The sequence below is a fragment of the Homo sapiens genome, chromosome 17, assembly GCF_000001405.40.
Source record: "Homo sapiens chromosome 17, GRCh38.p14 Primary Assembly".
Taxonomy (NCBI): domain Eukaryota; kingdom Metazoa; phylum Chordata; class Mammalia; order Primates; family Hominidae; genus Homo; species Homo sapiens.
In genome coordinates, this window is record NC_000017.11 from 27621813 (window position 1) to 27649791 (window position 27979).

Sequence of the window (27979 nt, forward strand, 5' to 3'; positions counted from 1 at the left end):
AGAGAAAGGGAGTCCCCTGCCCAGCTGCTCTGGCCAGACCTCTAGCTCCCGACAGGCTCTGCATTGGGGCTATGATTCTGATGCTGTTCTTTGCTTTCTTCTCTTTCCCTCTGTAGGTTGTAGGCCTGGCTGCCTTGCATGCACCAGGGGCTTTCTTCCTCCTAATCAACAACTCAGCACCGTGACTTCTGCTAAAATGCAAAATGAGATGCGGGCACTAACCCAGGGGATGCCACCTCTGCTGCTCCAGTCGTCTCTCTCGAGGCTACTTCTTTTGCTTTGTTTTAAAAACTGGCCCTCTGCCCTCTCCACGTGGCCTGCATATGCCCAAGTAACTGCTCTCAGAGGATCCCACTAACTGAGCTCCCTCCAAGGCAGTCTGGGCAGCTTCTAACTACCTTCCTGGACATGACTGATTGCTCCCGTGTTCTTCTGAGGGCTGGTCTTGTTTTTGTTTGGGTGGCTCTGTCTCACTGCTAACACCTTAGTGAGATGCCTTCCACCCTCCTGAGCACACCAGCCTCCCACTGGGTGTGTGCCTAGTGCGGGGCGGGCGGAGGTTGGGAGGGTGTTGGCTTGGCTTTTAACCTGTGGGGATTTTGTCCAACAAGGAGTGGAATGATTTCAGAGCTGCCCTGAGGCTGGCACCCTGGTCACAGGAACCCTCTGCGCTGGCTCCTGTCTCAGTCCCCTCTGTAGAGTTAGATCAGAAGACACAGAAAGTTCTGTGGCCATGAAAGATACCAGCTTGGAAGGGTTGTGTCTTCAGTGGCACCCTCAGAAAAATTGTCTTAAAGCAAAGAGGTACCTGGCTCCAGACAATTTTTCTGATGAAAACAAAGTCTCTGCCCCGTCCCCACCCTGCCACCCTGGCAAAGTTACTTCCTTTACAGCTGCCCAGTGTACCATAGACCAGACCCCAGGTCAGCATTTGTCAAGAGCATGGCTGCTGAGTCCCCTGTGGCAGTCAATGCACTGTTTACCAAATGCAGGTTTCTGTTCTCCCTCCCCAGCAAGACCTGCTGAACCCAGATCTCTGGAATGGGGCCCTAGGAATTTGCATTTCAACCTGCTTCCCAGGTGGCCCTGATGCACCCCAGTATTAGAGTTTATTGCTAAAAGGAACATGCCCTGTCACTCCTGGTATCCTGGGAGTCATGTTTCTCTTCTCTCTCAGTTCTACTTGGAGCAAGAGCTTTCCTGGGCTGCAAATGAGAAAACAATTCCTAGGAACCCACAGCAGTACTGAGCATGCTGGGAGCTTGGGACTTGGAGATGAATGAGCCACCGTTGCTGCTCCAAGTAGGACTACTTGGAGTGTAGCTGAGGCCTTGGACGCAGTATGACCAGGGGCAGCTCTGCCAGGGCTGTTGGCCAATCAGTCATTTTCATTTCTTGTTGGAGGCCAGGTCCTCTGCTGAACTCATTTCCTAGCTAGTGTTACCCTAATTCTGATGAAGATCAATGGGGCTATAATTCTTGTTTTTGTTCCTCTTTGCAGCATTAACAGCAGCAAAGTTGTACCCCGGTTTGAAAGGTTTGGCTTGGGCGTCCTGGAGTCCAGTAATCCAAAGATGTAGCCAGCCATATGGTTTTTCGCTGCTGATCTCTTTCTTTTTAAAATGTGTTTCTGAAACATCCCAACAACCACCACGACAAAAAAACACTGCCTGCCCAGCGCTGCAAACCAGGAGCACACGTCCTAGATTCAGACTGTTGGCCATAAACCCCACTCGGGAGATGGAGCTGCACCTGCTATTTCTTAAAATGACACCACCAACAACCAAACCTGTCATGACAGACAGCAAATGTTTACACGTATATTTCTCCTGAGTGAACCTGATGTTTTACAATAGGTAATAATAAAAACAGTCTGTGCAGATGCACTGGCACTGACGGCCAGGATGGCGGAAATGGCCATCCCCTCTGAGGACCTTGTAGGCGGTGAGGGACCCATGCTGGGCCAGAAGGAAGACAAACATGGTAATTGCAGCTGTTCTTGGGGTAGGGCGGGGAGCCCAGAAGGTCTGATCTGGCCTCTGCTTTTTGGCCCAAGACTCCATCAGGGAAATCTATCTAGGGCTCTCCCCTTGTCCTTTCAAAGGGATACTGCCCCTTCCTCGTCTTGCAGAGGAAACCCTGGCTAGGAACTGAGCTAGTTTATGGAGTCTGGAATTCCTGGAGAGCTTGGGTTCACCTTCTCACCCCTGTAATCCAGGCTGCTCCTGCTGGAAAAGTAGAAACAGAATCCAAAAAAGGTCTGGACTCACCCGGTGGTTCCCAGCCAGGGTTTCTGCTGCAAGGTGAGGAAACATCCATGGCTTGTACAGATGTGAGTCTTTGATGAAGCCCCCAGGCAGGCACCAAGGTGATGGGACTCAGGGCCTTGGCTTTTAGATACATCCCAGTCCCTGACTGACATCTGACCATGAGGGCTGGATGGGTGGGAACAAGGAGGAGTAGATGGCAAAAGTACCTGAGCCCACTTCCCAGCCACAGGGTGACCCTGGCACTGTAAAAACCCTTTGTCAGTCATGCCAGAAGGTTCTAGAACTGCCCACCTCTTCCATTTCAGTCCTGCTGAAACCCCTTAGCCTATTTCCGACTCCTCTGTCCATGCTCTGAGTTCAGCTGGGCAGTGTGTGGGCTATCACCCCTTTCATTTAGACCTACCTAGCTGGCCCCCATCTGCAGAGCCTTCCTTAGCACCATTAGGCCTTCTACTTGTGTCCATTTGAAGCAGGAGGGGCTGGATTTGGAAAAGTCTTTGAAGTGAGAGCACCACGCTTGTCTTCGTTAGAAACTCTTAACTGCAGAAAAAAGTTCCAGATGGCAAGGGAGCCCTTAAGTGGAGATTAGGTTGCATTAGACTCCAAAACCAGAAAGGAAAAAGGGTGATGGGAGTGGAGACGTGATTGGATTCAGGCCCAGAACCTGTGACCATGCTCTGAGCTCAGACTTGGGGAGGGAGGGGTGTGGCTCCCACCCCTTCCAGTTAAGACCTGCCTAGCAGAGCCCCAGTCTCCAGCCCCTTCCCTAGCACCAGAGTCTGGTCAAAATGCCACAGAAAATGAGCTGCTCTGCCAGCAAGCTGTGGAGCTGCCTCCTCTCCAGGCCTGGCATCCCTTGGTCAGCCCCTCCTGGGAGGGCACAGCCGTATTACAGTGCCAGTGTGCCTGGCCATCAGCATCTTCACCCTTCCCAGTCTGTGTGGGGAGGCTGTAAACCCCGTGGATTCAGCTCCGTGTGGAGTTTCTGTGCTATGGTGGGACTGCTCATTTTGCCCCATCATCCCTTTGGCCTCCCACACACCTGCCCCTTCCCAGGGATCACGTGTGTCTCCAGCCTTTCACCTTTCTATTGCAATGGTGGCCTTTGTCCAGGCAAGAGCAGGCCTGATGGATGTACTGGTGAGCCCCACAGTTGGATGTCAGCTCAGCCGTCCAACTGGGAGGAACAGTAGGCTCAGTTCCTCCCTGACCCCTGACACCAGGCCGCAGTGGGCATGCACAGGCCCACAGAAAGTCAGTCTGGGTTTTGCTTTTCTCGTGAGCATCACAGTTAAAGAAGCGCTCATTGAGCAACTACAGTGCACTTGGTCTTCTGCAAGTGCTGGGCACCTAGAGATAGGAACAGTCATGGTCCCTGCTCTTAAGGAACTGATGACCTGGTGGGGCCCTGTTGTCTTCAAGGAACCCAGAAGCCACTGGGCCCCAAAGGTGGAACTGAAGGACTGGGGGCAGCTGGCTCTCAGCCTGCCACCTCTGCACTGCCTGCCTTTAAAGAACCCCACCCCACCCCATGATGGCCCCCTCTGTTCCCCTTGTATTTCAGTGACTGTGAATTGAGGTTAGGAAGGCACACCTGCCCTTCTGTGTGCTCTCTCCACACGAAGGATGACAGATACTGTGAATTCAGCCCTCACGGCCAACTGTGAAGGGGATGGAGAAGGCTGGGAGGGCTCGGGGAGAGCTCTTAGGGGCTGCGGAAGTCCCCACGGGGGTCTGAGAGTGGAGCCCAAGCTTTGGCCCTCCAGGCATCCCCAGTTTCCAGCCTCACCTCTGAAGCCCTGCTGCCTTTAACCACCAGAGCCGCAGCCCCCTGGGTTTCTGTCTAACTCGAAGTCTTGAATCCTAGCTAGTTTGGGGTTGTGAGCAGTGTGTAGCAAAGTTGATCTCTCCATGTCACCAAATCAAAACACCCTCTGTCATCCTACGGCATTTCCTCTTGAGGTCACAGAGAGGAATGGCAAGCCCTGGAAACCTGTGTTATTCTGTGTTGATTTGGTGTGGGGGGAGGGTGGAGACGTAAATGTGAAGCCAGTTGGAGTTTGTGCTATGCAGCAGTGTTAGCCAGGATCTCATCAGCGTGCAAACCTAGCATCTTCTGTGGCCACAAGCCACACACTTGCTTTTTTTGAATGTGATGTAAAATTTGTACAGTAAAGTTTTTATATTTTCTATCAACTACATTTGTCTTCCAGACATGCTATTAATTTAAATTAAAATGGTTAGTATTAACAAACATGCTGTATCGGGTTTTTTTGCCACTGGCAAGAACATGCCCTCTGTGCTAAGCCAGGCCTGGGTGTCTGGAGTTTGTGAATAAAGTTATACCAAGGTGTTCTGGGGCTTGTCTTTGCTTTGGTCAGTTCCAGCTGAGTCCTGGGGACCATTTGGATGGGTGGCATGGGAATGGATAGGTCTGGGGTGACTGAACCCCTGGTCTATAGATTAAGGAGCTCCTTCCAAAGGAAGAAGTTATGCCAGGACCTCAGTGGCAGGTGTTTCTAAACAGATGGAGGAATGGAGAAGGCACAGCGTCAATGGCCCACAATGCGCAGAGGAAGATCATCCAGGCCCCAGCAGCAACAAAGCCATGAGCAGGCCCAGCATCTCCTGAGCTGGAGATGCCTTAGCCTTATGGAAGCCTTGGAGGGATGAGGTGGTGTTCATCTGAATCCAATATCTAGGAGCCCCTCATTGCCAGTTATATATACAGATAGGTGGAGAAGAGGTACTTTCTAAACACCATCTCACTTTAATCCTCACAAGGCCATGAGGTAAGAATTGTGATGTTTCAGCTGAGGAAAATGAGAAACGGAGAGGTTAAGGTATTCACCCAAGATCACACAGCTGCAGGGTGGCCAATCCAGGACTCAGGCCACAGCTTTCACTCCAGAATCTCTCCAGAAGTCTAGGAATTTGCTGGTCAGACATTTACTGAGCACCTACTATGTTCATAAGACAGTGCTAGGTTGTGGAGCATTTTCCAGGATAGGCCGCGTGGTAGGCCACACATTAAGTCTCAATAGATTTAAACATAACATACAAAGCATCTTCTCCAACCACAATAGGATGAAGTTAGGCAGCGGCACTAGATTCTCATAGGGGCACAAACCCTATTGTGAACTACACATGTGAAGGATCTAGGTTGTGCGCTCCTTAGGAGAATCTGAGTCTAATGCCTGATGATCTAAGGTGGAAAAGTTTCATCCTGAAATCATTGTATATCCCTTTCCATCCGTGAAAAATTGCCCTCCATGAAACTGGTCCCTGGTGCCAAAAAGTTTGGTGACTGCTGCCTTAAACTACTACTGGATTTACTGAGTGAGGCAAACCAAGTACTGTTTTGTCATAGTCTGTTTACAGGAGAGAGTTGCACTGTTAATTTGCCATTAGGAAGCAGTTAGAACCATATATCTGACTTTATGGAGGTAGAATACGCTCAAAGAGAATGTTCTCAGTGGGGGGGATGTGCATGCATGTTTTAGTGATTAATGTGGTTCAGTACGGCTGTACCAATACAATGAGGTTTCCAAAGGGAACTGGACAAGACGACCCAGGGCCCCCTGCATTGTACGACAGGACTCAGGTGTCTGCGGGCATCACTGACTGCCCTGCCGAGGCCCTCTGTGCTGGAGGTGTCACTGCAGATGGAAGGATTCCTTCTTGAGGAAGTCTACTACTGGCGAAGGTGAATGGGTCTGGGCGCAGGATCAGTGCAGTCCAGGAGTGACTCTAAAGGTGCTGGTGTGTGGGCACTACGTGCGGAGCTCAGCCCCAAGTCCTTTTCATGCATTAGCCCATTTAATCCCCACAGCATCTCTCTAAGGTTCACATTCATTTGCCTCATTTTATGGGTGAGGAAAGGAAGCTTGGAGAAATTAAGGAACTTATTGAAGATCACACAAGAATTAAATGACAGGGCCAAGATTCAAACGTGGGCTATTTGTACTATCTATAGAATTGTATGTCTGGCCCACATTTTGTTGACCACTCATCCATTGATGGACATGCGTTGCTTTCACCTCTTGGCTTTTGTGAATGATGCTCCTACAAACATGGGTGTTCACATGTCTCTTTGAGTTCCTGTTTTTGGTTATTTGGGGGATATACCCAGAAGTGGAATTGCTGGATCATATAGTAATTCTATGTTGAGATTTTTGAGTAACAGCCATGCTGTTTTCACAGAGTTCCAGTTTACCCACAATCTAGCCAACAGTTGTTATTTCCTGGATTTTTTTTTTTTTTTTAATCACAGCCATCCTAATGAGTGTGAGGTGGCAGACTCACATTTTGAAAAGATCCCTCAGTCTACAGGGCAGAGAACAGAGCCTCCGAGACAGGTCTGCGACTTTGAATACTAGAGCTCTGAGAAGAAACATTCACGAGGGCTGCTTCTCATCTCCTGAAGACCAGGGTTAACCACTGCGAATGGATTGTGGTGACTGAAGGGTGCCGGCACTGTGCCTCAAAGTGTCTCCCTACTGTGTTGATTGGTCTAAAAACACATCAGCCTTTGGGTATGACCTTACTGGGGCCCCTCCAGGCAGGGTGTGGAGCAGAGGACCCTCCTTTATAGGCTGGACTCAATAGTGAGGCTGCTTACCTGTGACTCACCTCCAAGGCTCAAGGTGATGCTAAGGTGCTGATTTGCTAGAACTCTGAGCTGTGCCTGTGTCTCCTTGGGCTCTGGGAGATTTTTTCTTTTAGCAGTATTTTATGGAAATATTGTCTAGGTAGAGTAAAATGTACAGATCCTGGTTTTCTGTTTTGAGTTTTGTTTTGAGACAGGGTCCTGCTCTGTCACCCAAGCTGGAGTGCAGCGGCATGGTCATAGCTCACTGTGGCCTCAACCACCCAGGCTCAAGCAATCCTCCTGCCTCAGCCTTCCTGTAGCCAGGACTACAGGTGTGCACCACAATGCCCCACTAATTTTTTTGATTTTTAGTAGAGACAAGGTCTCGCCATGCTGCCCAGGCTGGTCTCGAACTCCTGGGCTCAAGCAATCCTCCCGCCTCAGCCTCCCAATGTGCTGAATTACAGGTGTCAGCCACTGCACCCAGCCTCAGCCTGTTGTTAATGGATGTAAATACCTGTGTGATCGCCACCCAGAACCAGATCCAGAACATTTCCAGCCTCTCAAAGACTCCTTCCTGCCCCTCCCAGTCAGAGACCCCCAAGGGTGACGCCATTCTGGCCTGTTGTTCAACTTGACTTGAACAACACTTCAAGTCAAGTTTGGATCTGGCTTCTTCTGCTCAGTTGCGAGGCCCATTGATGTTTCCTGTGGCCTAGCTCCTTTTTATTGCCGAGGGCTACTCTGTTGTATGAAAACCACAATTCATTTCTCCCTTCTCCTTTGGTGAACATTTGCACTGTTTCCAGCCTGGGGCAATGATGAGTAAAGCTGTTAAAAACAGGCACATATGTTTTCCTTTCTCTTGGGTAATTTTTTAGAAGTAGAAAAGCCAGAACATAGAAGTAGATATTTGACTGTATTACAACTCACCAAGCAGTTTTTCTTTTTATTTTTTATTTTTCAATTTTTTGAGACAGAGTCTTGCTCTATTACCCAGGCTGGAGTGCAGTGGCGTGATGAGGGTTCACTACAGCCTTGACCTCCTGGGGTCAAGTGAGCCTCCCACCTCAGCCTCCCATGTAGCTGAGACCACAGGTGTGCACCACCACACCTGGCTAATTTGTTTGTTAAATTATATGTAGGGACAGGGTCTTCCAACCTTTCCCGAGCTGGTCTCAAGCTCCTGGGCTGAAGTGATCCTCCTGCCTCAGCCTCTCAAAGTGCTGGTATTATAGGCATAAGCCACCACGCCCTGCCCATTTTTCTAAGTTGGATTATTTTACACTCCAGTCTGCTGTGAATGAGAGTTCCAGTTGTTGCGTATCGCAATCAATTTGTGATTGCCTACAAATGATGTGCCGTGATGAAATTGTCCCTGGTGTCCGAGAGGATCGCAAAGAATTTCCCTTCCTTTCTCTCCTTTCTGCTCCCCTTGTACTGTCTACTCCTTAAACTGGTACTTGATCCAGGAACATAATGGGGATGGACAGTGCAGATGGCACACATGGCCTCAGTCTATTGGAGCATCTCAAAGGAATTAGTCTGCAAATTCTAGTGCATCTAGGTGGAGCACAGGAAGGAAGAGAGGTGCAGACTCACGTATGGCCCTGGGGCACCTGCCATCCTCTCGCACCCGTACAGCCCTTACCTGCCAGCACTTACCCTACCCAGCTTGAGTTCTGGGCCTTCTCACCAGCACATCGCTGGGACCTGGTCGACTTCAGGTAAGTTTATTTCATGGCTCCCTCCCCCACGACCTGCACATGCCATATGTTCCTTCCCAGCCCCATGTCACTTGAAATGTTCTATCATGTCCAAGACTTCTCTCCTCATCCTAAAGTGCAGAAAATAAGGATGGAGAAGAGAAGGAGAAGAGAATCAAGAGAGATTCATTGAGAGGGAGGATCAGAAGCTCCTGGGCACCCCATACTGTAGAATAAAAATATTCATTATGGTGTTTTTCTTGCAAAATATTCCCCTCTACATAATTATGTTTTTACATGAATAATATAAATTTAAACAGGAGAAATACTTTTTGAAGAGTCTGAGAATCTTCATAAAGTTCAGGCGGCCACGAATTAGCTGTGTGACCTGGGGCATGCCCCTTAGACTCTGAGCCTCAGCTTCTCTGTATGTAAAATGGGTTGAAGCCGCCCTTCCCCACAAGCACCCTGTGCACAGGCAATGCCCAGCCCCATTATTTTCTGGACTCCGTGGCCAAGCATGCTTAGGACACACAGCCACATACTTCTGGGCAGTGTCATCTGGCAACTTGCTGTCATGTCAGTGTGGTCAAGCATTGTAGACCTCTATGAACCAAATATGCTTCAGGCTTGGGTTGAGCACAGGAGAGGGAGGAGGGAAAGGTCACTGGGGCTGGGAGTGCCTACTTCCCTCTGTGAGTGTCACCCCAGTCCACCCAGTACCATACCTTTCTCTCTCTGGACCCACTTCCTTTTGCTGCCGGCTCCTCCCCATTGAATAACAGCCAAGTTGCTTTGGTTTCTATTTCTTTGTTAAGTCGTTCCCTCTACAAAGGACTTCCTAGTGGGTGTGAAAGGCAGCGGTGGCCACAGAGGCGGCGGAGAGATGGCCTTCAGCGGTTCCCAGGCTCCCTACCTGAGTCCAGTGAGTTCCAGGGCTATGGGCACAGGGCTGCCTCAGCCAGAGGGACACAGCTCTGGGGCTCTGAGGAAGCAACTCCTGGGTGGCAGGGGATGGGGGTGGGGGCATCCCAAAGAGAACACAAGCAGGGCAGAAATATCAGAGGAGGTCATCCTGGCACACCTGTGCCGTGCTGAGCTCACTCATGCCTGGAGGGATGCTCCTTCCCACGAGTCATGGCTTTGACAGTGTTGACTGAGCTGTCCTGTCCTGTCCTGTCCTGTGTGCTCAGGGGAAGACATGTAGAGCGGGGTGGTTCATGTAAAGAGGAAGCAAGCACGCTTCTGGGACAGTAAGGACGCTACCCGGCATGGTAGTTAAGGGTGCTTACTGTGAAGGTGGCCTCCCTGGGTCCAGCTATTTACTGGCTGGTGGTCTCTGGGCCTCAGTTTCCATATCTGTGAAGTGGGAATAATACTTGAGCCCCCCACTCCCAGGGTTGGGATATGGATTAAGGAAGTAGTGTATCTAGTGTGTTTGAACAGTGCCTGACACACTGTAGGTGCTTTGGGAGTGTTTCATGTTATTGGGTGTCTGAGGGCAGCAGGGAAGACCTCCCGAGGAGGTGTCTGTGCTCTGAAGGTTGGGCATGGGCATGTTCAGGGCATCTGTGGAGGGGCAGTCTCAGAGGTGAGAGGGGGGTGAGGACTGTCCCTGCAGCGTGGGGTCAGAGGGCGGCAGGTGCCTTGCTGAAACCCTGTGAGGTTTATGAGTCCCCTTCATACACGGAAAATCTGAGGCTCAGGGAGGCAGAGGCCAGTTGCCAAATGCCTCCAGATGGGAGTGGCAGCCCCAGGAGCCCAGGAGACTTCAGGGGTCACTGTGTCCTGGGCCGGCTCCTGTCATAGGATCTCACCCCGCCTTGGCAAAGAGCTTCCCGAGGGGCTGGAGAGGGTGGGCTGATGGGTCCTTCCTGGGTGGGGAGGCAGGGTGGGGAGGGTGGGCAGAGGCAGGGTACTGAGGGAGGGAAGCTGCCATGGCCCACCTCAGCAGAGGCCAGGGTCGGGCTTGAGTGCCCCCTGGTGACACTGAGTCCAGAATGAGGCTGCCTACGTTCTGGTCTGCAGAGCTCGGCTCTGCTTTCTAAACTCCAGAGAGAAAGAATGGGGAAAGGAGGCCTGTTTCCTCCTGGCTGTCACCAATGACACCTCAGCCACCCTGTGGAGGCCCCTGAGGTAGGACCTGCACAGAGGGGGCTGGGGGAAGCTGGAACAGGCCGCTGGTGGGGGCCTTAGGGTCAGCAGGTGCTGCCTTGGGCATGTCACCCTGTCTCTGGTTTTCTGTCAAAGAGGGGATCCCAGAGCTTCTTCCAGGTTCTGACATATTATTATTCTGGTGACTGGTTTTTACTTTCTAATCCTTGGATTCAGAAGGAAAATTATCCTACGGACATCAGAGAGTTAAAACAGGGCCTTGGAGTCCAGACAAGAAAGATGATCAGTGCAGCCCCTATGGGTGTCCAGAGTACCCCTCTACCCCACGGGGGCTCCCCTGGGTTGGGACAATTAAGCCTCACTTGGTGACCCATCTGGCAGTCGGAGCCACGCTTCCTCCACATGCCGACAGTGGGGGAAGGTCACGCGGTTCGCTGTCCTGCTGAGGAGGGCTGAGTGCCATGAGGGCCTGGCTTGGAAACCTCACTCCCACTTCTTGTCTGGCCTCATCTAGCCCAGCCTCTTTGGAGGGCCTGGGGGAAGCTGGAACCACGTGCTGTGTGGTCCAGGAAGCACTGGGAGAGCCAGGAATAAGGATGTTCTCAGCTTACTCATGAGAGGAAGCCTGTGTGGTGGTTAGAAGCGTGGGTGCTGGGGTTCAAATCCCAGCTCTGTTGCTGACCAGTTGTGTAACTTTGAGCAAGTGACTGAACTTTTCTGTGCCTCAGTTTCCTCATCTGTAAAAGTGGCCGGGGTTGCTGTGAGGATAAATGTTCCTAGTCATGCCCAGAGCCCTCATGGACACACATGGATCCAAATGCCACAGCAGCCTTAGCTGGTCAACCTCAAAACAACACATTTGTTCTTACAGTGTTGGAGGTCAGAAGTCTAAAATCAAAGTGTCATGGAAGGTGGCCAGCAGGACCATGGAGCCTCTGAGGCAGCGGGGCACCTTGGCTAAGAGCCACGTACTGGCCTCCTGCTGGCACGCAGTCTTGGCCAGCCAGGCTGAGCTCCCCACTTCGGGGTCGGGCCTGGGTGTCCTCTGGTGATGCTGAGTCCAAAACAAGGCTGCCCACATTTTGGTTCACAGGGCTCAGCTCTGCTTTCTAGACTTCCAGATAAGAAGAGGAGGAAAAGTCCCCGGTCTCTGGGCACTATCAGGAACAGAGAGCAAGTCATGACTCAGCAGAGGGATCGATTTGTTCAATGCAAAGAGCTGCACTGTCATGTCTGACATGAGCCAGGGGCTCAGCACACGGAATCGCACCCAGTCCTCTCAGAACGCTGCCAGCCAGGGGCTCAGCACACAGCGTTGCACCCAGTCCTCTCCAGAACACTGTCGGGTGGTGTTACTGTCCTGCCATTCAGAGGAGGGAACTGGGGCACAGGCAGGTCAAGTGACTTGGCCAGTGTCAGAATTGCTAGTGTACAGAGCTGGGAGGCAAGCCCAGTCCCGTGGGACCATAAATCCAGTGTGAAAATCCATCCTCCTGCACCACATGGAACAAAAGCAGGTCCGGTTGTTTTCCTGGGTTTTCTGGACACACTTATCCAAATTCCACAGCAGCCTTGGCTGGCCAATCTTAAAACAACAAATTTGCTCTCTTAATGATTTTGAAGGTCAGATGTTAAAATCAATGTGTCAGCAAAGTTGTTTCCTTCTGGAGGCCCCAGGGGAAAATCTGTTTCTTTTCCTTTTCCATCTTCTAGAGGCTGCCTGCAGGCCTTGGCTTATGACCCCTCCTGCCATCTTTAAAACCAGCAGCTTTGGCTGGGCCCAGTGGCTCATGCCTATAATCCCAGCACTTTGAGAAGCCGAGGCAGGAGGATCTCCTTAATCCAGGAGTTTGAGACCAGCCTGGGCCACAAAGTGAGACCACGTCTCTACAAAAAATAGACAAACATTAGCCAGGTGTGGTGGTGCATGCCTGTAGTCCTAGCTACCTGGGAGGCGGAGGTGGGAGGGTCACGTGAGCCTGAGGAAGTGGAGGCTACAGTGAGCTGAGATCGCGTCAACACACTCCAGCCTGGCTGACAGAATGAGATCCTGTCTCAAAAAAAACAAAAAACAAAAAACGAAAACAAACAAAAACCCCCCAAAAACGCAAACCAGCTTCTTCTTGCTTCTGTGCTTCTGTTGTCACATCTCCTACCTCTGACACTGATCCTCCTGCCTTCCTTTTATAGGATCCTTGTGATCACATTGGGACCACCTTTAAAATCAGGACAATCTCCCCATGCCAAAATTACTAATTTAATCACATCTACAAAGTCCCTTCTACAACATATTCACAGTTTCCGGGGATTCGAATGTGGATGTTTCTGGGGGGTGGCCCACTGGTAACCAGTGTTATAAGTTTCTTATAAATCCTTCCAGATATATTTTATCTATAAATAAATAAATGCAAGTCCATAGACTTCCCCCACCCACTTTTTATACAAATGGCATCATTCCATATCAGTGCTCAGAGTTCTGTCTTCCTCTTTTTCTTTTCTTTTTAAGGCTACACAGAACCTATTAAATGGAAATACCCTAATTTATTTCACCTTTTTCCTGTCAGAGGACTTTTAAGCTCTTTCCAATGCTTTGCTTTATAATCCTTTGTGTTATAATGCTGCAATGAATAACCTTGTTTGTAGGATGATATTCAATTTAAAAACTCATTTTTCAGGCCAGGCATGATGGTTCATGCCTGAAATCTTGGCCCTTTGGGAGGCCGAGCCGGAAGGATCACTTGAGCTAGCCCAGGCAACACATAGAGACCCCATCTTTACAAAAAATATTGTAAGATTAGTGGGACATGGTGGCCTGCACCTATTTTGTCCCAGCTATTCGGGAGGTTGAGGCGGGAGGATTACTTGAGCCAGGGGGTGGAGGCTGCAGTGAACCATGATCACAGCCCTCACTGAACTCCAGCCTGGGCAACAGAGTGAGAACCCATCTCTAAATAAATAAATAAATAAATAAATAAATAAATAAATAAATAAATAATCTTGTTTTTCCGAATTTTGGGGGCACTATTTAAGATATTTTGAAACCTCACAGAGCTTTTTTGGGGAACTTGTTGCCTTGGAGATTAGCCTGTCCTGTCCCGCCCCCATGATCTGTACTTCCTCTTTCTCCCTCCTGGCTTCCTTAATTAAGCCTTGTGTGTACTTGCCAGCCCATGTCCATCACGCTCTGCCTTCAATTCTAGATGCTGTGCTGTGAATACACTTAAGTGGAGGCCGCATGCTTCCCAGGAGGGTGTGTATTTTCAGTGTTGTGTCTCATGATAGTATGAAAGGCTCTGGAGAGAATCACAGGCTTCCACAAACAGGCAAGGAGAAAAATGTTCCACAGACATGTTTCAGGGAAAACAGGCTTCCCAATCCTAGGCCGTGCTGGTCCATAATTGGATCAGGCTGACTCTCCTTCCCCTACACTGCTGGTGTAGACAGGGACAAGAATGAGAAGTCAGAGACACAGAGAAGCTGTGATTTGCTTGAGGTCACTAAAGTACTTAATGGCAGAGTTCAGACCTGACCTGAGGGGCAACAAAAGACACCCCCCTCAAATCCATGGGGAGCAGAGTCTAACTGAATCAGATCCCAGATTTCCTGGGGCTCTCACGGTGCCAGGTGTGTACACTGAGCTAGGATGGGTTTCCCAGGGTTCTGTGTGGTCACACAACTCAACAATACAGACCAGAAAGCAGTGGCAAGTAGGCTGAATTTGGCTGGTGGGTGTTTTCTGTTTGGCCTGCACAGTGTTTCTTTTAACGTTTTATTATAGGAAATTCAAACATGCAGAAGGAATTGTACCATCAACAACACACACCCATCACTCTGCTCCAACAATGATCAACTCAGGCCTATCTTGCTTCATCCTATACCCTCCCTCGCTTGCTTCCTTCCCACCCTCAGATATGTGGAAGCAAATCCAAAGATACCATTCCATTTCAAATATTTCATTTTGTATCTCTATAATATGGGAATTTGGGGGGTTTCAAGACAGGATTTCACTTTGTTGCCCAGGCTGGAGTACAGTGGTGTGATCATGGCTCACTGCAGCCTCCACCTCCCAGGCTCAAGGGATCCTCCCACCTCAGCCTCCCAAGTAACTAGAGTTAAAGGTGTGCACCACCACACCTAGCTATTTTTTTTTTATTTTTTGTAGAGATGGGGGTCCCATTACGTTGTTCAGGCTGGCCTCAAACTCCTGGGCTCAAGTGATCCTTCTGCCTCAGCCTCCCAAAGTGCTGGGATTATAGATGTGAGCCACTGTGCCCAGCCAGGAGCTTTTACATAATCCTTTTTGACAAATTTTCCCCCAAGAAATTAGAAAGTTTTATAGAAAAAAAAAATCCGGACTTCTGTCTTCTCTTAAAAATTTGGAAGCTCTGCCAATACTGGGCCCAGATGGCAATCACTGCTTAGCACGGAGTAGATGTTGACTTTTCAGATGAGGGGTGTGACATCTACTTTGCCACAGTCCCCACCACTCCCCCACCTGGCCATCTCACCCATACACATCACCTGCCTGGCTCCTTTAGGCATTTAATTTGTGTAGGAAATTGACCTAAAGGAGATATTAGAGAAGACATTAAAAACTTGAAGAATGTGAAAATCAGCCAGGAGATAGAACTGTGCTTTAATGCGGGTTATAGAACGACATTGGATATGAAGCATTTTGGGAATAAACTTTGAAAATTGGAAGTACCAGTTTGTGAATTTTGCTGAGAGAGATGAAGGTGGGGGGTGGGTGACAGTGGTGAAGCATCTCCTATGTGCCAGTCTCTTTTACCACAGGCTGTTTCTCACAAAATCATCAATCATATGCAGCAGGTGAAACACCTTCCTATTTTACAGATGAGGAAACTGAGGCACAGAGAGGTGAAATAGGCTTCCCAAGGTCACTCAGGTCATGAGCAGCAGAGCTAGGATTCAGACCTGGAGTTGGCCTGACTCTAAAACGATGCATGCCTCACCATGGCCCATCACTCCTTTAAAGAGCACCAGAAGAGAGAATTTGACAAAGTGGTTGCCCGTGGGGCCTGGGATGGGTGGGGAAACCACGCTAGGCCTCGGGGCTGCTGAGGGCCTGAGGGAAGGAATGGGGAGCCCGGGCACAGAAATAGAGGAGGGGGCTGCCCCACGGCTACAGAAGGCATCTGGGAAGACGCTCTGCTGAAGGTGGCCAGGAGGGCAAAGGTCACAGTGGCCATTGTTATATGGTGGTGGTGGGGAGAGGGGGATGGCTTCTTCTTAACCTCCTCGGGTGAGTCGAAGGTTTACCCTCCAGACCCTTGATGGGTCCCTTTGGTCCCTTGGGCTTCCTGAGTCTCCAGCCAGGGCCTGGGACCTTTGCTGGGAGCTTAGCATGGGGTCCAGCAGCCCCCATTGCTACCTAATTCCTTAGCAGCCCAGGGTGTCTGCCTGCTACTTCCCTGCCTGGAAGGAAGGCCTTCTGCCTGGTGCATTCCTGCTGCAGCCTCCACTGCCTCTTAGACTCTCACACAAGCTCAGCTCCCTGTCGCGTCCTCTCAGGGCCAGGCTTCTCCTTATCACAAGCTTAGACTGTCTGAGTAACTAATTGGATTTGTGTTTGCCTCCACACAGGACCCTAAGACCCGTGGGGCTGCGACTCCCTCTGTACTGGTCACAGCCGCACCCTATCCCCTTGCATGGGGCTGTCAAACCCAGGCTGGCCACTGACTAGCGCTGGAGGGGAGCAAACGGGAGGCCGGCCACCTGACTGATGTTCCCACACCTTCTCCCTGCAGGCTGTCCCCTTTTCTGGGACTATTCAAGGAGGTCTCCAGGACGGACTTCAGATCACTGTCAATGGGACCGTTCTCAGCTCCAGTGGAACCAGGTGTGTGTGTATATGGATGGAAACGTTTCACTCCAGCCTCGTCCCTTAGTAAACCACTGTGCCTGTGAGCCTGGGTTAGTTCAAACAGCAACATCCAAGCTCACGTGCCTGGCTCAGGGGAGGCCCAATGCGTCCCTAACCCATGCCACAGGGCAGCACTCCACAGGCACAACCTGCACCCAGGGGTGCCATTAACCTGGACTCCAGGATGAATGGGGCCCTGGGAGCTGACGGTCTAAGGAGGGCGTGGGATGGTCAGAGTTGGATGATTATGTTCTGGGTTGAACCTTGCACACTGTGACTAAGAGTTGCAAAAATCAAACTTCCTCCATTTCCCGTAACTGCTCTCATCCACTCTGAAGCTCTCCTTCTGCTGATGTGAAAATATTGAAAATTGCCATCAAAAGTAATTTGGTCTCTTTTGGTTTCAAGGCCTTTTCTAGAAACTACTAAGTCAATTCAACATACTAACATTGTATCAGGGCTGTTTCCCACCCCCTCCTCCCTCCCAAGGTGGGCTGTCTGGGAACAGAGAAGAGCTCACATGGCTTCTCAGTGGCTGGGAGGGCTCTAGACCCTCACTCAGGCCTGGCTGACCCCTGCCGAGGCACCCCGACCGGGTGGCACAGAGGTGTGCAGCTCTCTCCTGGTTTAGTGGGGGACCATGGGTGGCTGCCTGCTGAACTCTGCGGGGCCCACAGAAGAGCCTCTGGACTCATGACTCTCTCTCGGAAGCCTCTCTGCCTCAGTCCCAGGGGACCTCTCCTTAAGACCTTCTGGGCCTCACAGATCCCAGCTAAACCTCAGCTTGGACACCTAGATTCTTGGTGACCTCCTCCGCCATTGCCATCCTGCTGTGGGACTTCTCTGAGAGACTGCGGTGCCCTCAGGAGATGCCAAGGGCAGGGAGGCCCCGATCTCCCTGAACCCTCCAACCAGGGGAATCAGGACCATGACCCTGATCTTCCGCCCCTTCCTCTCTCCCTCTCCCTCCACCTCCCCCACCCCCCAGCACCAGGAGGGCTTCCCACTCCCATCCTGTCATATAGAGACAGATCCTACCTCAGAGGGCCCTCTCCTCTTGGGAGCTTTCTGTCTCTCCCTTCCTTGGGGCAGGAATTTCGAAAGGACTACAGGGATGAAGCTGAAGGACTCCAAAGGAAAAAATACATGCAGATATATTTCAAATGCAATCTTCTCCATTTATTCATTTAATTAATTAATTTTTTTCTTTTGAGACAGGGACTTTCTTTCACCCAGCCTGGAGTTCAGTGGTATGATCATAGCTCACTGCAGCCTCAAATTCCTGGGCTTGAGTGATCCTCCCATCTCAGCCTCCGGAGCAGCTGGGACTACAGGAGTGCACTATGATGCCCAGCTAATTATTATTATTATTATTTTGAGATGGAGTCTCGCTCTGCCACCAGGCTGGAGTGCTGTGGCGCTATCTGGGCTCACTACAACCTCCGCCTCCTGGGTTCAAGTGATTCTCCTGCCTCAGCCTCCTGAGTAGCTGGGACTACAGGCTCATGCCACCATGCCTGGCTCATTTTTTGTATTTTTAGTCGAGACGGGGTTTTACCATGTTGGCCAGGATGGTCTCGAACTCCAGACCTCGTGATCCACATGCCTCAGCCTCCCAAAGTGCTGGGATTACAGGCGTGAGCCATCATGCCCAGCCAATTTTTTTTTTTTTAACTAGAGATGAGCTCTCACTATGTTGCCCAGGCTGGTCTCAAACTCCTGGGCTCAAGTGGTCCACCCGCCTTGGCCTCTGCGCCCAGCCCCAATTTCACATGCTCTTTACATTTGTTCTCTTCTTTCCCATTTAATCAGGCATGTGCTGGCCTCCAACAAGTGTCCACTGGCACAGAAGGCTCTCTCTTCTAGGTGTGCTTAACAACTTCCATCTTCGGTATCAATTGGTAATCACTTTCCAAGACCTATGTTTCTTGTTTGCTAATACCAGCACTTTTCCTTAACCGTTTTCTATTTGCTTTTAGCAAATCATGCTGTAAAGGCAAAATCCAATAATTAAAACAAAAACACATTAGATCCCAATTAGAAAAACAAAAACGATGCCAACAAAGCAGTCTCTGCCATACAGGTTGTGTGCAAGATCCAGACAAATGCAAAGCACAGGCGCCGAGGCCCTCCTGTGCCTGTCACTGGCAATAATCCATGCCACAGAAGACTATTTGCTTTCCCTGGGCCTAGGTTTGCTGTGAACTTTCAGACTGGCTTCAGTGGAAATGACATTGCCTTCCACTTCAACCCTCGGTTTGAAGATGGAGGGTACGTGGTGTGCAACACGAGGCAGAACGGAAGCTGGGGGCCCGAGGAGAGGAAGACACACATGCCTTTCCAGAAGGGGATGCCCTTTGACCTCTGCTTCCTGGTGCAGAGCTCAGATTTCAAGGTGAGCAAGAATCCCCTCCCCACCTCTCACCCCTGGGACCCCCAGCCCTATCAGGTGAATGGCCTTTAAGTAATCACCTAAATTGACATTCAGCCAGAGTGACACCACTATACAGATAACACGCTCATTTCCTTGTGAGGTGTTACCCATGGCTGCCTAGTCTCCTTATGCACCTTCATCTGAATCTACAGGTGCACCTGCTGCTTCTTTTACTCTGAAAATAAGAACTAGAGGAGTCATCACGTTGCTATTTGGTGTTGTGTGTCTTTGAATTCCAAGCTCATTCCATTCCTCTGCTATAGCCATTCCTCCTCTCCAGGTCACTGGTAACATTTATTTTTCAGCGACATCGTTCCAGCCTTTATCCAGGGTCTATTAAGGGTATAGTTTTGTAAGCACATTGCAAATTACCCTTGCAAGCAGAGTAGGTCTCTGGGCTTGAGAAGCCTGTGGGTAAGTCAGTCCAAGTATGCTTATCTGAGATAAGGATGTCCCCATTCGTTCAGTATGCAACCTGAGGTCACCTCTCCTCTGCTCCCCATGAGCATTTTATGCATATATAAATAATACCGCTGCAGCCATAAAAAGGAATGAGATCATGTCCTTTGCAGGAACATGGATGGAGCTGGAAGCCTTTATCCTTAAACTAACGCAGGAGCAGAAAACCAAACACCACATGTTCTTACTTATAAGTAGGAGCTGAACGATGAGAACACATGGACAAAATGGGGGGAAACAACACACCCTTGGGCCTGGTCGGAGAGGGAGAGCATCAGGAAGATTAGCTAATGGATGCTGGGCTTGATACCAAGGTGATGGGTTGATCTCTGCAGCAAACCACCATGGCACCCGTTTACCTAGTTAACAAATCTGCACATCCTGTACTTGCACCCTGGAACTTAAAATCAAAGTTGAAGGGGATGGAAATGGCAGATCACGCCTATAATCTCAGCACTTTGGGAGGCTGAGGAGGGCGGATCGCTTCAGGTCAGGAGTCCAAGACCAGCCTGGCCAACATGGTGAAACCCCATCTCTACTAAAAATACAAAAATTAGCTGGGTATGGTGGTGGGCTCCTGTAATCCCAGCTACTCGGGAGGCTGAGGCACGAGAATCACTTGACCCACTGCACTCCAGCCTGGGCGACAGACTGACATTCCATCTCAAAAAACAAAAAAAAACAGTTGAAGGAAAAATAAATAATTAATAAATGAAACCCCAGGTGAGCTAAGACTAGAAAGACAAACCTACTGCAGGAAACAACCAGAAGAACGAAAAGTCCAACTGGAGCCTGGTAGAGACTCGGGTTGATGCACTTTGGGTCACACACACGTTCCTGTAACTGGCCCCACACTGAAGACCAGACTCAGGTCTTCATTTTCTAGAAAGAGGGTCCAGGAGCTCAGGGGTGGTCCCCATCCCAGCCTGGGATGCCTCCCCCAGAACATGTGCTCTCCTCTGGCAGGTGATGGTGAACGGGATCCTCTTCGTGCAGTACTTCCACCGCGTGCCCTTCCACCGTGTGGACACCATCTCCGTCAATGGCTCTGTGCAGCTGTCCTACATCAGCTTCCAGGTCAGACTGTCCACCTGGCACCGGTCCCAGGGGCTGGGATGCAGGGCCCAGCGTAGCTGTGTCTAAGCCCTGCTGGGTGGGCCCAAGCCAATCTCCTACCCAGGTCACTCTGGGGACAACCTCTGCTTCCCTGTCCCAGTACCTGCCCGCCCCTTCTCCTCTGTCACTCTGCCCCTCCTTCTGTGTTACTGTCTCTGTCCGGAACACCTGCCTTGGTCTCCCAGACTCCTCAGCTGCCCCTTTCTCTTCATCCCTCAGTTTCCATCCTGGTAAGGAGGGCATATTGTTCTAGAAAGAGCCCAGGCTCAAGAACCAAACTGAATCCAGTTCAAATTCCCAGCTCTGCCATTCATCATCTGTGGGATCTTAGACAAGCAACTTCACCTCTCTCAGCCTTGGTTTCTTCATCTGTAGAATGGTCATTGCCTGCCCCCCATGGGTGGTTGTGTGGTTCAGTGAGGAGACAGATATCAGAGGTCACACAGTGGCCCCCCTGGGCCCACACCAGGGTCTGTTTGACCTCTGTGTTTTAACAACTTTGAATGTGTTGCCAACATCTAAAAGGTCAGGAGAGTCAGGTATGGTGGTGGAGGTCTGCAGTCCTGGCTACTCAAGAGGCTGAGGTGGGAGAATTGCTTGAGCCCAGGAATTAGAGTTCTGTCTGGGCAAAACAGCAAGACCCTGTCTCCAAAAAACTTTGTTTAAATAATAAAATAAAATAAATAAAACTAAATAAGGTCAGGAGATACCAATACCATGTGAAAAATGGGAAGATTAGGGTATGCTGGGCCCACATTCCCACAGGGCACCAGCAGCTGGGTGGGAGCTGCTGTTACCCTTTTGGCATTCGAGGCTGCTCCCTGAGATCAGCGAAGCACACAGTAGGCCCTCAGCAAATCTGGGCTTCTCGCCCTTTGGTCCTCATCTCTCATTCCCTCCTTCCCTGACTCTCTCCCCTGCGGGTGGTAGGGGAGGGAAGAGCTGGAGGGAGACCGCACCCCTGCACTGCTCACCAGAGCCTGGCTCTTTCCCATCCCATCTTGGCAGGGCCCTAACCCCCTTGCCTCATCGCCCTGCCTGCCTGGTCTCTCCCTCTTGCCCCTGCCTCTGCCTTTCGGCTTCTCCTTGGCTCTATTAATGCTTCTCCTCACTGCCCGGTGCCTTTTGTTTTAACAGAACCCCCGCACAGTCCCTGTTCAGCCTGCCTTCTCCACGGTGCCGTTCTCCCAGCCTGTCTGTTTCCCACCCAGGCCCAGGGGGCGCAGACAAAAAGTGAGTTCAACACAGAGGCCCTGGGTGGCCGAGCAGACAGTAGGAAGGACCGAGGGTCTGAGAGGCTGGCCCCAGCCAGCAGGCCACTCAGGGCCTACAGGCCGCATCTTGCCCACCCAAGAGTTCCCTGTCTCTGTCCGCTGGGCACCCAGAGCTGGGGACCTGGGGGTCACCCTGGATTCTTCACTCCCTCTTCTTTACGTCTCTCCAAGGCACGAACGTGTCTCCCTCCTGAAGCCACCGATGTGGTCCAGGCCTCTGGGATTCCTCACCATGACGACAGGGGTCCAGTTCCCCACCCCCTACACCCAACCACTGCCACAGTGACCTTCTTATAAGCAAATGTGATCACACCCTCTCCCTGCTTAAAAATCTTCACAGCCCCCAGCCCTTCAAATAAAGCCCAAATTCTCCAGCAGGGTATATGAATTCCTCCCCAGTCTGCCCCAATCCACGTCCCTGCCTCACCCCCAACCCACGAAGCTCACGCAGCCTCTGCAGCTCACTCAAGGCCCTCTTGGGCCACCATGCTTTTGCATATGCTGTCCCTGGTCCCGGAAGCACCCTCTGCCAGCCTGCCTCGAGCACATGCCTAATTGCCCTTCCATGCTCTGCCTAAGTGCCGCTCCTCTGGGAGTCCTCCCCGCCTGGAATATTGTTGGACGCTCCCCTGGTGTCCCCACAGAGTCTGTATGTATCTGTGCCATGCCAGTTCACAGCACCCCATTGTAACTGTATTTGCGTGTCTGTCCCCGTTACTCCACCCCCATGTCCCTATGCCCATGAGGCCCCAGAGGGCCAGGACTGTGGCTTGTTCATTTGCACTGTGCCTGGCACTCAGTAGGGACTCAGTGAATGAATGTGGAATGTGGTTCACACAGCCAGGGAGAATGGGATACCAGCCAGGGCAAGAACAGTCTACTGGGTGGGGCAGGATCCAGGACAAGGAGGTGAGCAGCCCTTCCTCCGGCCACTCAAGTAGTGGGGACTGGGAGGAGGGGCGCTTTGTCTACGCAGTCTTCTTATGGCTCATCACCGTACAGACAGGGCACCTGCCTCCTGCCACGCTGACTTCAGGACTGGTCGAGCCCCAGGGAACATTTGCAGGGCAGCCCAACTTTGGCCCTGGCCCTGGCGCTGGCCCTGGCTCTGGGGAGGATAGAAAGTGTGCTGGATACAGTCAGACAGAACTGGCTGCCACTTTGGATTTGATCCCTTCCACCTTGGCAAGCTTGGGCAAGTTGCTTAATCTTTCTGAGCCTCGTTGCCTCACTAGGGACACAGGAGCTGAGGCTGCTTCCCTTGTTGGAAAGCACTGAAGCCCAGGAATCGACCCACAATAGGCCTTCAACAAATACCACTTCTCACCTTATGGGTGAAATATGGCACTGGAAGTAATGCTCTTCGCTGTGGGAGCTACAGAAAGCAATGAGGTCTCTATCAAACCCAGTCTCCTCTCTCTCGAGAGGAACCAGTGGGGATACCCTACCCCCCAACCCCAAAGCCCTGTACACCTGGGGGTAAAAATCTGGGTGCCACGGGCTCAGGAAGGCTTGCTTGGGAGCAAGAGGGAGGTGGGTGTGTCCGGGGAGGCATTTCTGAGCACAAGAGCCTCCCTGGAGTTTTGCCACCATCTCCTCCCATTCTGTGGTGCCCGCGATAACCACCATTCTGACTCTCCTCACCCCTCCAGCCTCCCGGCGTGTGGCCTGCCAACCCGGCTCCCATTGTAAGTCTCTTGCTTTCTTTTTGGATCGTCCTCATTTTGGCTTTTCTGGGCTCATGGAGGAGGCAGGGCCAGGCATTGGGCCTCTCCCATTGGGAGTGGGGAGGGCACAGACCAGACCCTTGACCATCTGCCCGGCCTGGTGAGGTTGGGGGTTGGATGTGGGGGTTGGATGAAACAACCTGAGTTGCCACCCCGTGGGCAGCCACGGAAGACCATGCCCCACATTCACTTCTGTCACCTGCAAAGGGAGGCTAGGCTGAGAGACGTTTCCCCGAGAGGAAAGATGGGCCAGAGCCACCAGCGTCCCCATCTGTCTTCTCCAGGGTTCTAACCTTTGCCCCTCGCTCATCCCCTTGAGAGAAGAGACACCTGGGCCCACCCTCTGTGGGGTCTGTGGGGCCATTGGGCTTGTTACGCCCCCTGGAGGGTGCCTGCCGTGTGGCGCCCTCTGGTGGGAGCTGGTGGTTTTCACACGTGAGAGCCTGGGTGAGACCTGGTTTCTTTCTTCCAGACCCAGACAGTCATCCACACAGTGCAGAGCGCCCCTGGACAGATGTTCTCTGTAAGTCTACAAGTTCTGGTCAGTTCACAGCTGCACAGTGTCCTCCTTCACCAAAAACTAAACTCCCTAGAGCCCTAGAGTCGGGAAGAAAGCGGTTTAGCAAGGAGGATGGGGACACTAGGGGCTGAGTGCTTGGCTCAGGTGACATGTGGCTAAAGCTGTCCTTGGGACAGCAGAGATTCTGGAAGAAGCAGGGTTTATCCAGTGGTGGAAGAGACAAGTCCCCTAGAGACCGGGAGGGAAACTGGTCCATCTGTCACCAAGTGGGGAGTACAGTGGCCCCAGCACCCGGATGTGAGGTTCCTGGCCCTGCATCCTGGGTCCCCAGGATGTCACTATTGATCACAGGCTTAAGCTCTTCTCCTGATGGTGCAAATGAGGCAGGGGGGCTTAGAATTAGTGGGGCTGCCTGCGGAGGGGTTGAGGGGCAGGTGACCGTGGTGTGGTCTGGGAACACGGCAGGAAGTTCCAGGAAGGCTAACATGAAAAGGGAGGTAGACGGGCGAGTCCAAGGGCCAAAGGCTCACGAGGTCAGCCTCACAGTGGAGTCCTCTCTAGAACGCGTGGGTGCGCCTGGGTGAGTGCTCGCGCACCCATGTGCTCTCCCATTGAATTTCCTGGTTTCTTTTCAACAGACTCCCGCCATCCCACCTATGATGTACCCCCACCCCGCCTATGTAAGTGGTTTCTCAGGGAGGGCAGAGGTTCTGTTTGTGGTGGGCAGGCTGGGGGTGAAGGGCCGCTGTGGGGGGATCCACTGGCCTTGAAAAATTAAAAGCAGTCATTTGTTAAGCTGAAGGGCTTCAAAGCATCCCAGCGAATTAGAAGGCTGTGGAGAGGAGCTTTCAACCTTAAAACTGTCGTGTCAATATGAGCACATTGCATGTCCCTCCCTTTTCACCCCACGAAACGAGTCTTTTTGTGTTTGGCCAAAGTTCCTTTCATGACACTAATCTAAGCCCATTAATTTGAGGAGCACTGGAAAGTTTTCCTTTGGCTTTTATGGAACCAAGTAAAGATATCATGGGCTTCTTCTCAGCTGACAGCCCAAATTCATGGGAACTGGTACAATCTTCCCCTTCCGCGTGGTGGCTGACCTGTCCCCCTTCTTCCGACAGCCGATGCCTTTCATCACCACCATTCTGGGAGGGCTGTACCCATCCAAGTCCATCCTCCTGTCAGGCACTGTCCTGCCCAGTGCTCAGAGGTAAGCCAAGGGCTCCAGTGACCTCTGGGAAGAGAGAGCCCTTCAAGGTCAGTCCAGCCATTCCCCTGGCTTCAGGAAGGCTACTGATGATGGGGAGGAAATGGGACTCAGAATTCGGTGGATAAAGGTTCAGGTGGGCTGCCCACCCCAGGTTCCACATCAACCTGTGCTCTGGGAACCACATCGCCTTCCACCTGAACCCCCGTTTTGATGAGAATGCTGTGGTCCGCAACACCCAGATCGACAACTCCTGGGGGTCTGAGGAGCGAAGTCTGCCCCGAAAAATGCCCTTCGTCCGTGGCCAGAGCTTCTCAGTAAGGCACCGCAGTCTGGAGCTTGGAGAGGCTCCCATGGGTGCACAGGGGGAGGGGGTAAAGGAGGTTTGAGGTACCTTGAACAGTATGGGGGCTGATTCCTCTGGGATGAAGGCCCAAAAGAAGAGAAGGTGGCCAACAAATTATTATTATTATTACTGTCCCGCATGAAGGAAGTGCTGGGATCTGCTTTTTCAGATGAGGAAACAAACTCACAAGTGCAGGTTACTTGCTTGTGGTCACACAGTCAGTAAGTGTCAAATCAGACCCAAGAAGGAGGTGTTATTCATTTCTTCATTTACTCAACAACCATTTTCTTGTCGCCTGCTTTGCGCAGGAAGCACCCCACATGCTGGGGGCACAGTCATGAAGCACACAGACAGGGTCCTGCCTCCAGGGAGTTTATAATTTAGGTGGGGAAAGAACAAGGAAAGTAAAGCATGGACAGATTGTCACAGATAACGACAGTGCCACGCACAAAGCAAAACAGAGCGATGAGATAGAGCGAGCCTGGGAGGGGCAGCTAGGGCCAACGTGCAGAGGCACGGGTGTGGCCTGTCCAGGAACAGCAGGCAGGCGTGCTCCACCCTGACTACATATTCAAATCACCCAGAGAGCTTACAAAGGAAATATCAGTGCTGGGACCCCAGCCCAGGCCAATGAGGCAGTCAGCTGGGCATTCGTATTTTAAAAATATGCCTTAAGTGATTATACTCTGCAGTCAGAGTTGAAAATGACTGATGTAGGGCTTTGCAGCCATGGAAAGGAGCTTGGATTTTAACACAGTGAAAAGCCTCAGGAGTGTTTCAAGCCAGGGAGCAACATACTTTGATTTGTAGACAGCTGTGTGACCTCGGACAAGTGACTTAATTATTCTGTGCTTCAGTTTCCTCATCTACAAAATGGAGCTAATAATCATGAATTTCCTAGAGTTGTAAGAATGGAATGAGACAGTATCTGTAGTATGCTTAGGACAGTGCCTGGCAGGTGGCATGTGTGATAGGAGTGTTAGCTATTGCAAAGGGAAGGAGGTTTTAACATTTGTACCCTGACTGCTTCGTGGAGAAGGCATTGGGGTGGAAAAGACAAGTTAGGAGACTGATGCTGCAGGAGCCCAGGCCCAGAGCACTCCTGTGTGCTGGGCCTGAGGGATACAGACGGCACAGGCCAGTGCTCCTGTCCCTGATGGGGTGGGAACAGTATTCTAGACCAGGGAACAGTACAGGGGAAAGAGCACGCACAGCCTGTTTAGTGAAGAGCCGTCGTTCAGTGGGGATAGAGTGCAGGTGAGGGGCTTATTAACAACTGAGGAGGGAGGGAGGGTGGGAGGGAGGGAGAGAGGAGGCTGCAGTGAGGGTGGAGGACTTCCCAAGTGTAGTGCAAACGGCATGATCTCTGCACAGGTGTGGATCTTGTGTGAAGCTCACTGCCTCAAGGTGGCCGTGGATGGTCAGCACCTGTTTGAATACTACCATCGCCTGAGGAACCTGCCCACCATCAACAGACTGGAAGTGGGGGGCGACATCCAGCTGACCCATGTGCAGACATAGGCGGCTTCCTGGCCCTGGGGCCGGGGGCTGGGGTGTGGGGCAGTCTGGGTCCTCTCATCATCCCCACTTCCCAGGCCCAGCCTTTCCAACCCTGCCTGGGATCTGGGCTTTAATGCAGAGGCCATGTCCTTGTCTGGTCCTGCTTCTGGCTACAGCCACCCTGGAACGGAGAAGGCAGCTGACGGGGATTGCCTTCCTCAGCCGCAGCAGCACCTGGGGCTCCAGCTGCTGGAATCCTACCATCCCAGGAGGCAGGCACAGCCAGGGAGAGGGGAGGAGTGGGCAGTGAAGATGAAGCCCCATGCTCAGTCCCCTCCCATCCCCCACGCAGCTCCACCCCAGTCCCAAGCCACCAGCTGTCTGCTCCTGGTGGGAGGTGGCCTCCTCAGCCCCTCCTCTCTGACCTTTAACCTCACTCTCACCTTGCACCGTGCACCAACCCTTCACCCCTCCTGGAAAGCAGGCCTGATGGCTTCCCACTGGCCTCCACCACCTGACCAGAGTGTTCTCTTCAGAGGACTGGCTCCTTTCCCAGTGTCCTTAAAATAAAGAAATGAAAATGCTTGTTGGCACATTCATGTGGGTTGACCATGGCTTCTTTAATTCATTTGGAGACATTTTGGAGTCTGTGGAATCGGGCGGGGGTGCTGCTGAGAGGAGTGGGATGGGAAAGCATGGACTCCCTTTGGGCAGGGGGTCCTGACCTCACACCTCCTCCCAGAGGGTCTCTTGCAAATCCCACGAGGGTGTTGGAGAAAGCAGGCTGGGGCTCTAGCCTTTTGGGCAGGAGTCTCGGACACAGGAAGGGT

At 51.6% G+C, this 27979-nt stretch overlaps 2 protein-coding genes across 28 annotated transcripts in view, besides 4 other annotated features; both read left to right on the plus strand.

The window, feature by feature from the left end:
* Positions 1-4623, plus strand: part of KSR1 (kinase suppressor of ras 1) — a 169988-nt gene extending 165365 nt beyond the window's left edge. For 15 of the 20 annotated variants that reach the window (XM_047436989.1, XM_047436985.1, XM_011525429.3 and 12 more), the window contains one exon: positions 1502-4623. In XM_047436989.1, coding sequence (XP_047292945.1) covers positions 1502-1580 — 79 coding nt within the window. In that variant the 3' untranslated portion in view covers positions 1581-4623. Of the gene's footprint in view, positions 1-116 lie in introns of all 20 variants that reach the window. The other 5 variants (XM_047436987.1, XM_047436988.1, XM_047436996.1 and 2 more) reach the window with 3 other exon arrangements.
* Positions 9001-9818: an enhancer, noted in NCBI's record as "H3K4me1 hESC enhancer chr17:25957839-25958656 (GRCh37/hg19 assembly coordinates)". NCBI's record gives its function as "activates a minimal SCP1, AML or CMV promoter by ChIP-STARR-seq in naive H9 embryonic stem cells {active_cell/tissue: H9 hESC(naive)}" and the evidence as "EXISTENCE:reporter gene assay evidence [ECO:0000049][PMID:30033119]".
* Positions 9286-9405: an enhancer, noted in NCBI's record as "active region_11909". NCBI's record gives its function as "activates an Ori minimal core promoter by ATAC-STARR-seq in GM12878 lymphoblastoid cells {active_cell/tissue: GM12878}" and the evidence as "EXISTENCE:reporter gene assay evidence [ECO:0000049][PMID:35858748]".
* LGALS9 (galectin 9) lies at positions 9376-27748 on the plus strand. Of its 8 annotated transcripts, NM_009587.3 has the most exons (11): positions 9376-9492; positions 16451-16542; positions 18760-18961; positions 20426-20536; positions 21713-21808; positions 23502-23537; positions 24049-24099; positions 24735-24776; positions 25218-25306; positions 25458-25620; positions 27024-27748. In NM_009587.3, exons 1-11 carry the CDS (start codon positions 9454-9456, stop codon positions 27168-27170), a joined length of 1068 nt encoding a protein of 355 aa, NP_033665.1. In that variant the 5' UTR covers positions 9376-9453; the 3' UTR covers positions 27171-27748. The 8 variants fall into 8 exon arrangements, 7 of the variants coding, with proteins under 7 accessions (NP_033665.1, XP_006721956.1, NP_002299.2 ...); NR_024043.2 differs by lacking the exon at positions 21713-21808 and having other exon boundaries at positions 18831-18961; XM_006721893.4 differs by lacking the exon at positions 25458-25620.
* Positions 16131-16685: an enhancer, noted in NCBI's record as "H3K27ac-H3K4me1 hESC enhancer chr17:25964969-25965523 (GRCh37/hg19 assembly coordinates)". NCBI's record gives its function as "activates a minimal SCP1, AML or CMV promoter by ChIP-STARR-seq in primed H9 embryonic stem cells {active_cell/tissue: H9 hESC(primed)}" and the evidence as "EXISTENCE:reporter gene assay evidence [ECO:0000049][PMID:30033119]".
* Positions 21266-21959: an enhancer, noted in NCBI's record as "H3K4me1 hESC enhancer chr17:25970104-25970797 (GRCh37/hg19 assembly coordinates)". NCBI's record gives its function as "activates a minimal SCP1, AML or CMV promoter by ChIP-STARR-seq in naive H9 embryonic stem cells {active_cell/tissue: H9 hESC(naive)}" and the evidence as "EXISTENCE:reporter gene assay evidence [ECO:0000049][PMID:30033119]".
* Positions 27749-27979: the final 231 nt, after the last annotated feature.

What these genes read in the sequence shown, in the direction of transcription:
- LGALS9 (NM_009587.3), top strand. Translation starts at nt 9,454, where the DNA reads ATGGCCTTCAGCGGTTCCCAGGCTCCCTACCTGAGTCCA. An exon ending in CTCAGCTCCAGTGGAACCAG is followed by an intron (nt 16,543 to 18,759) that starts GTGTGTGTGTAT and finishes CCCTGGGCCTAG; the next exon opens with GTTTGCTGTGAACTTTCAGA. An exon ending in TGCAGAGCTCAGATTTCAAG is followed by an intron (nt 18,962 to 20,425) that starts GTGAGCAAGAAT and finishes CTCCTCTGGCAG; the next exon opens with GTGATGGTGAACGGGATCCT.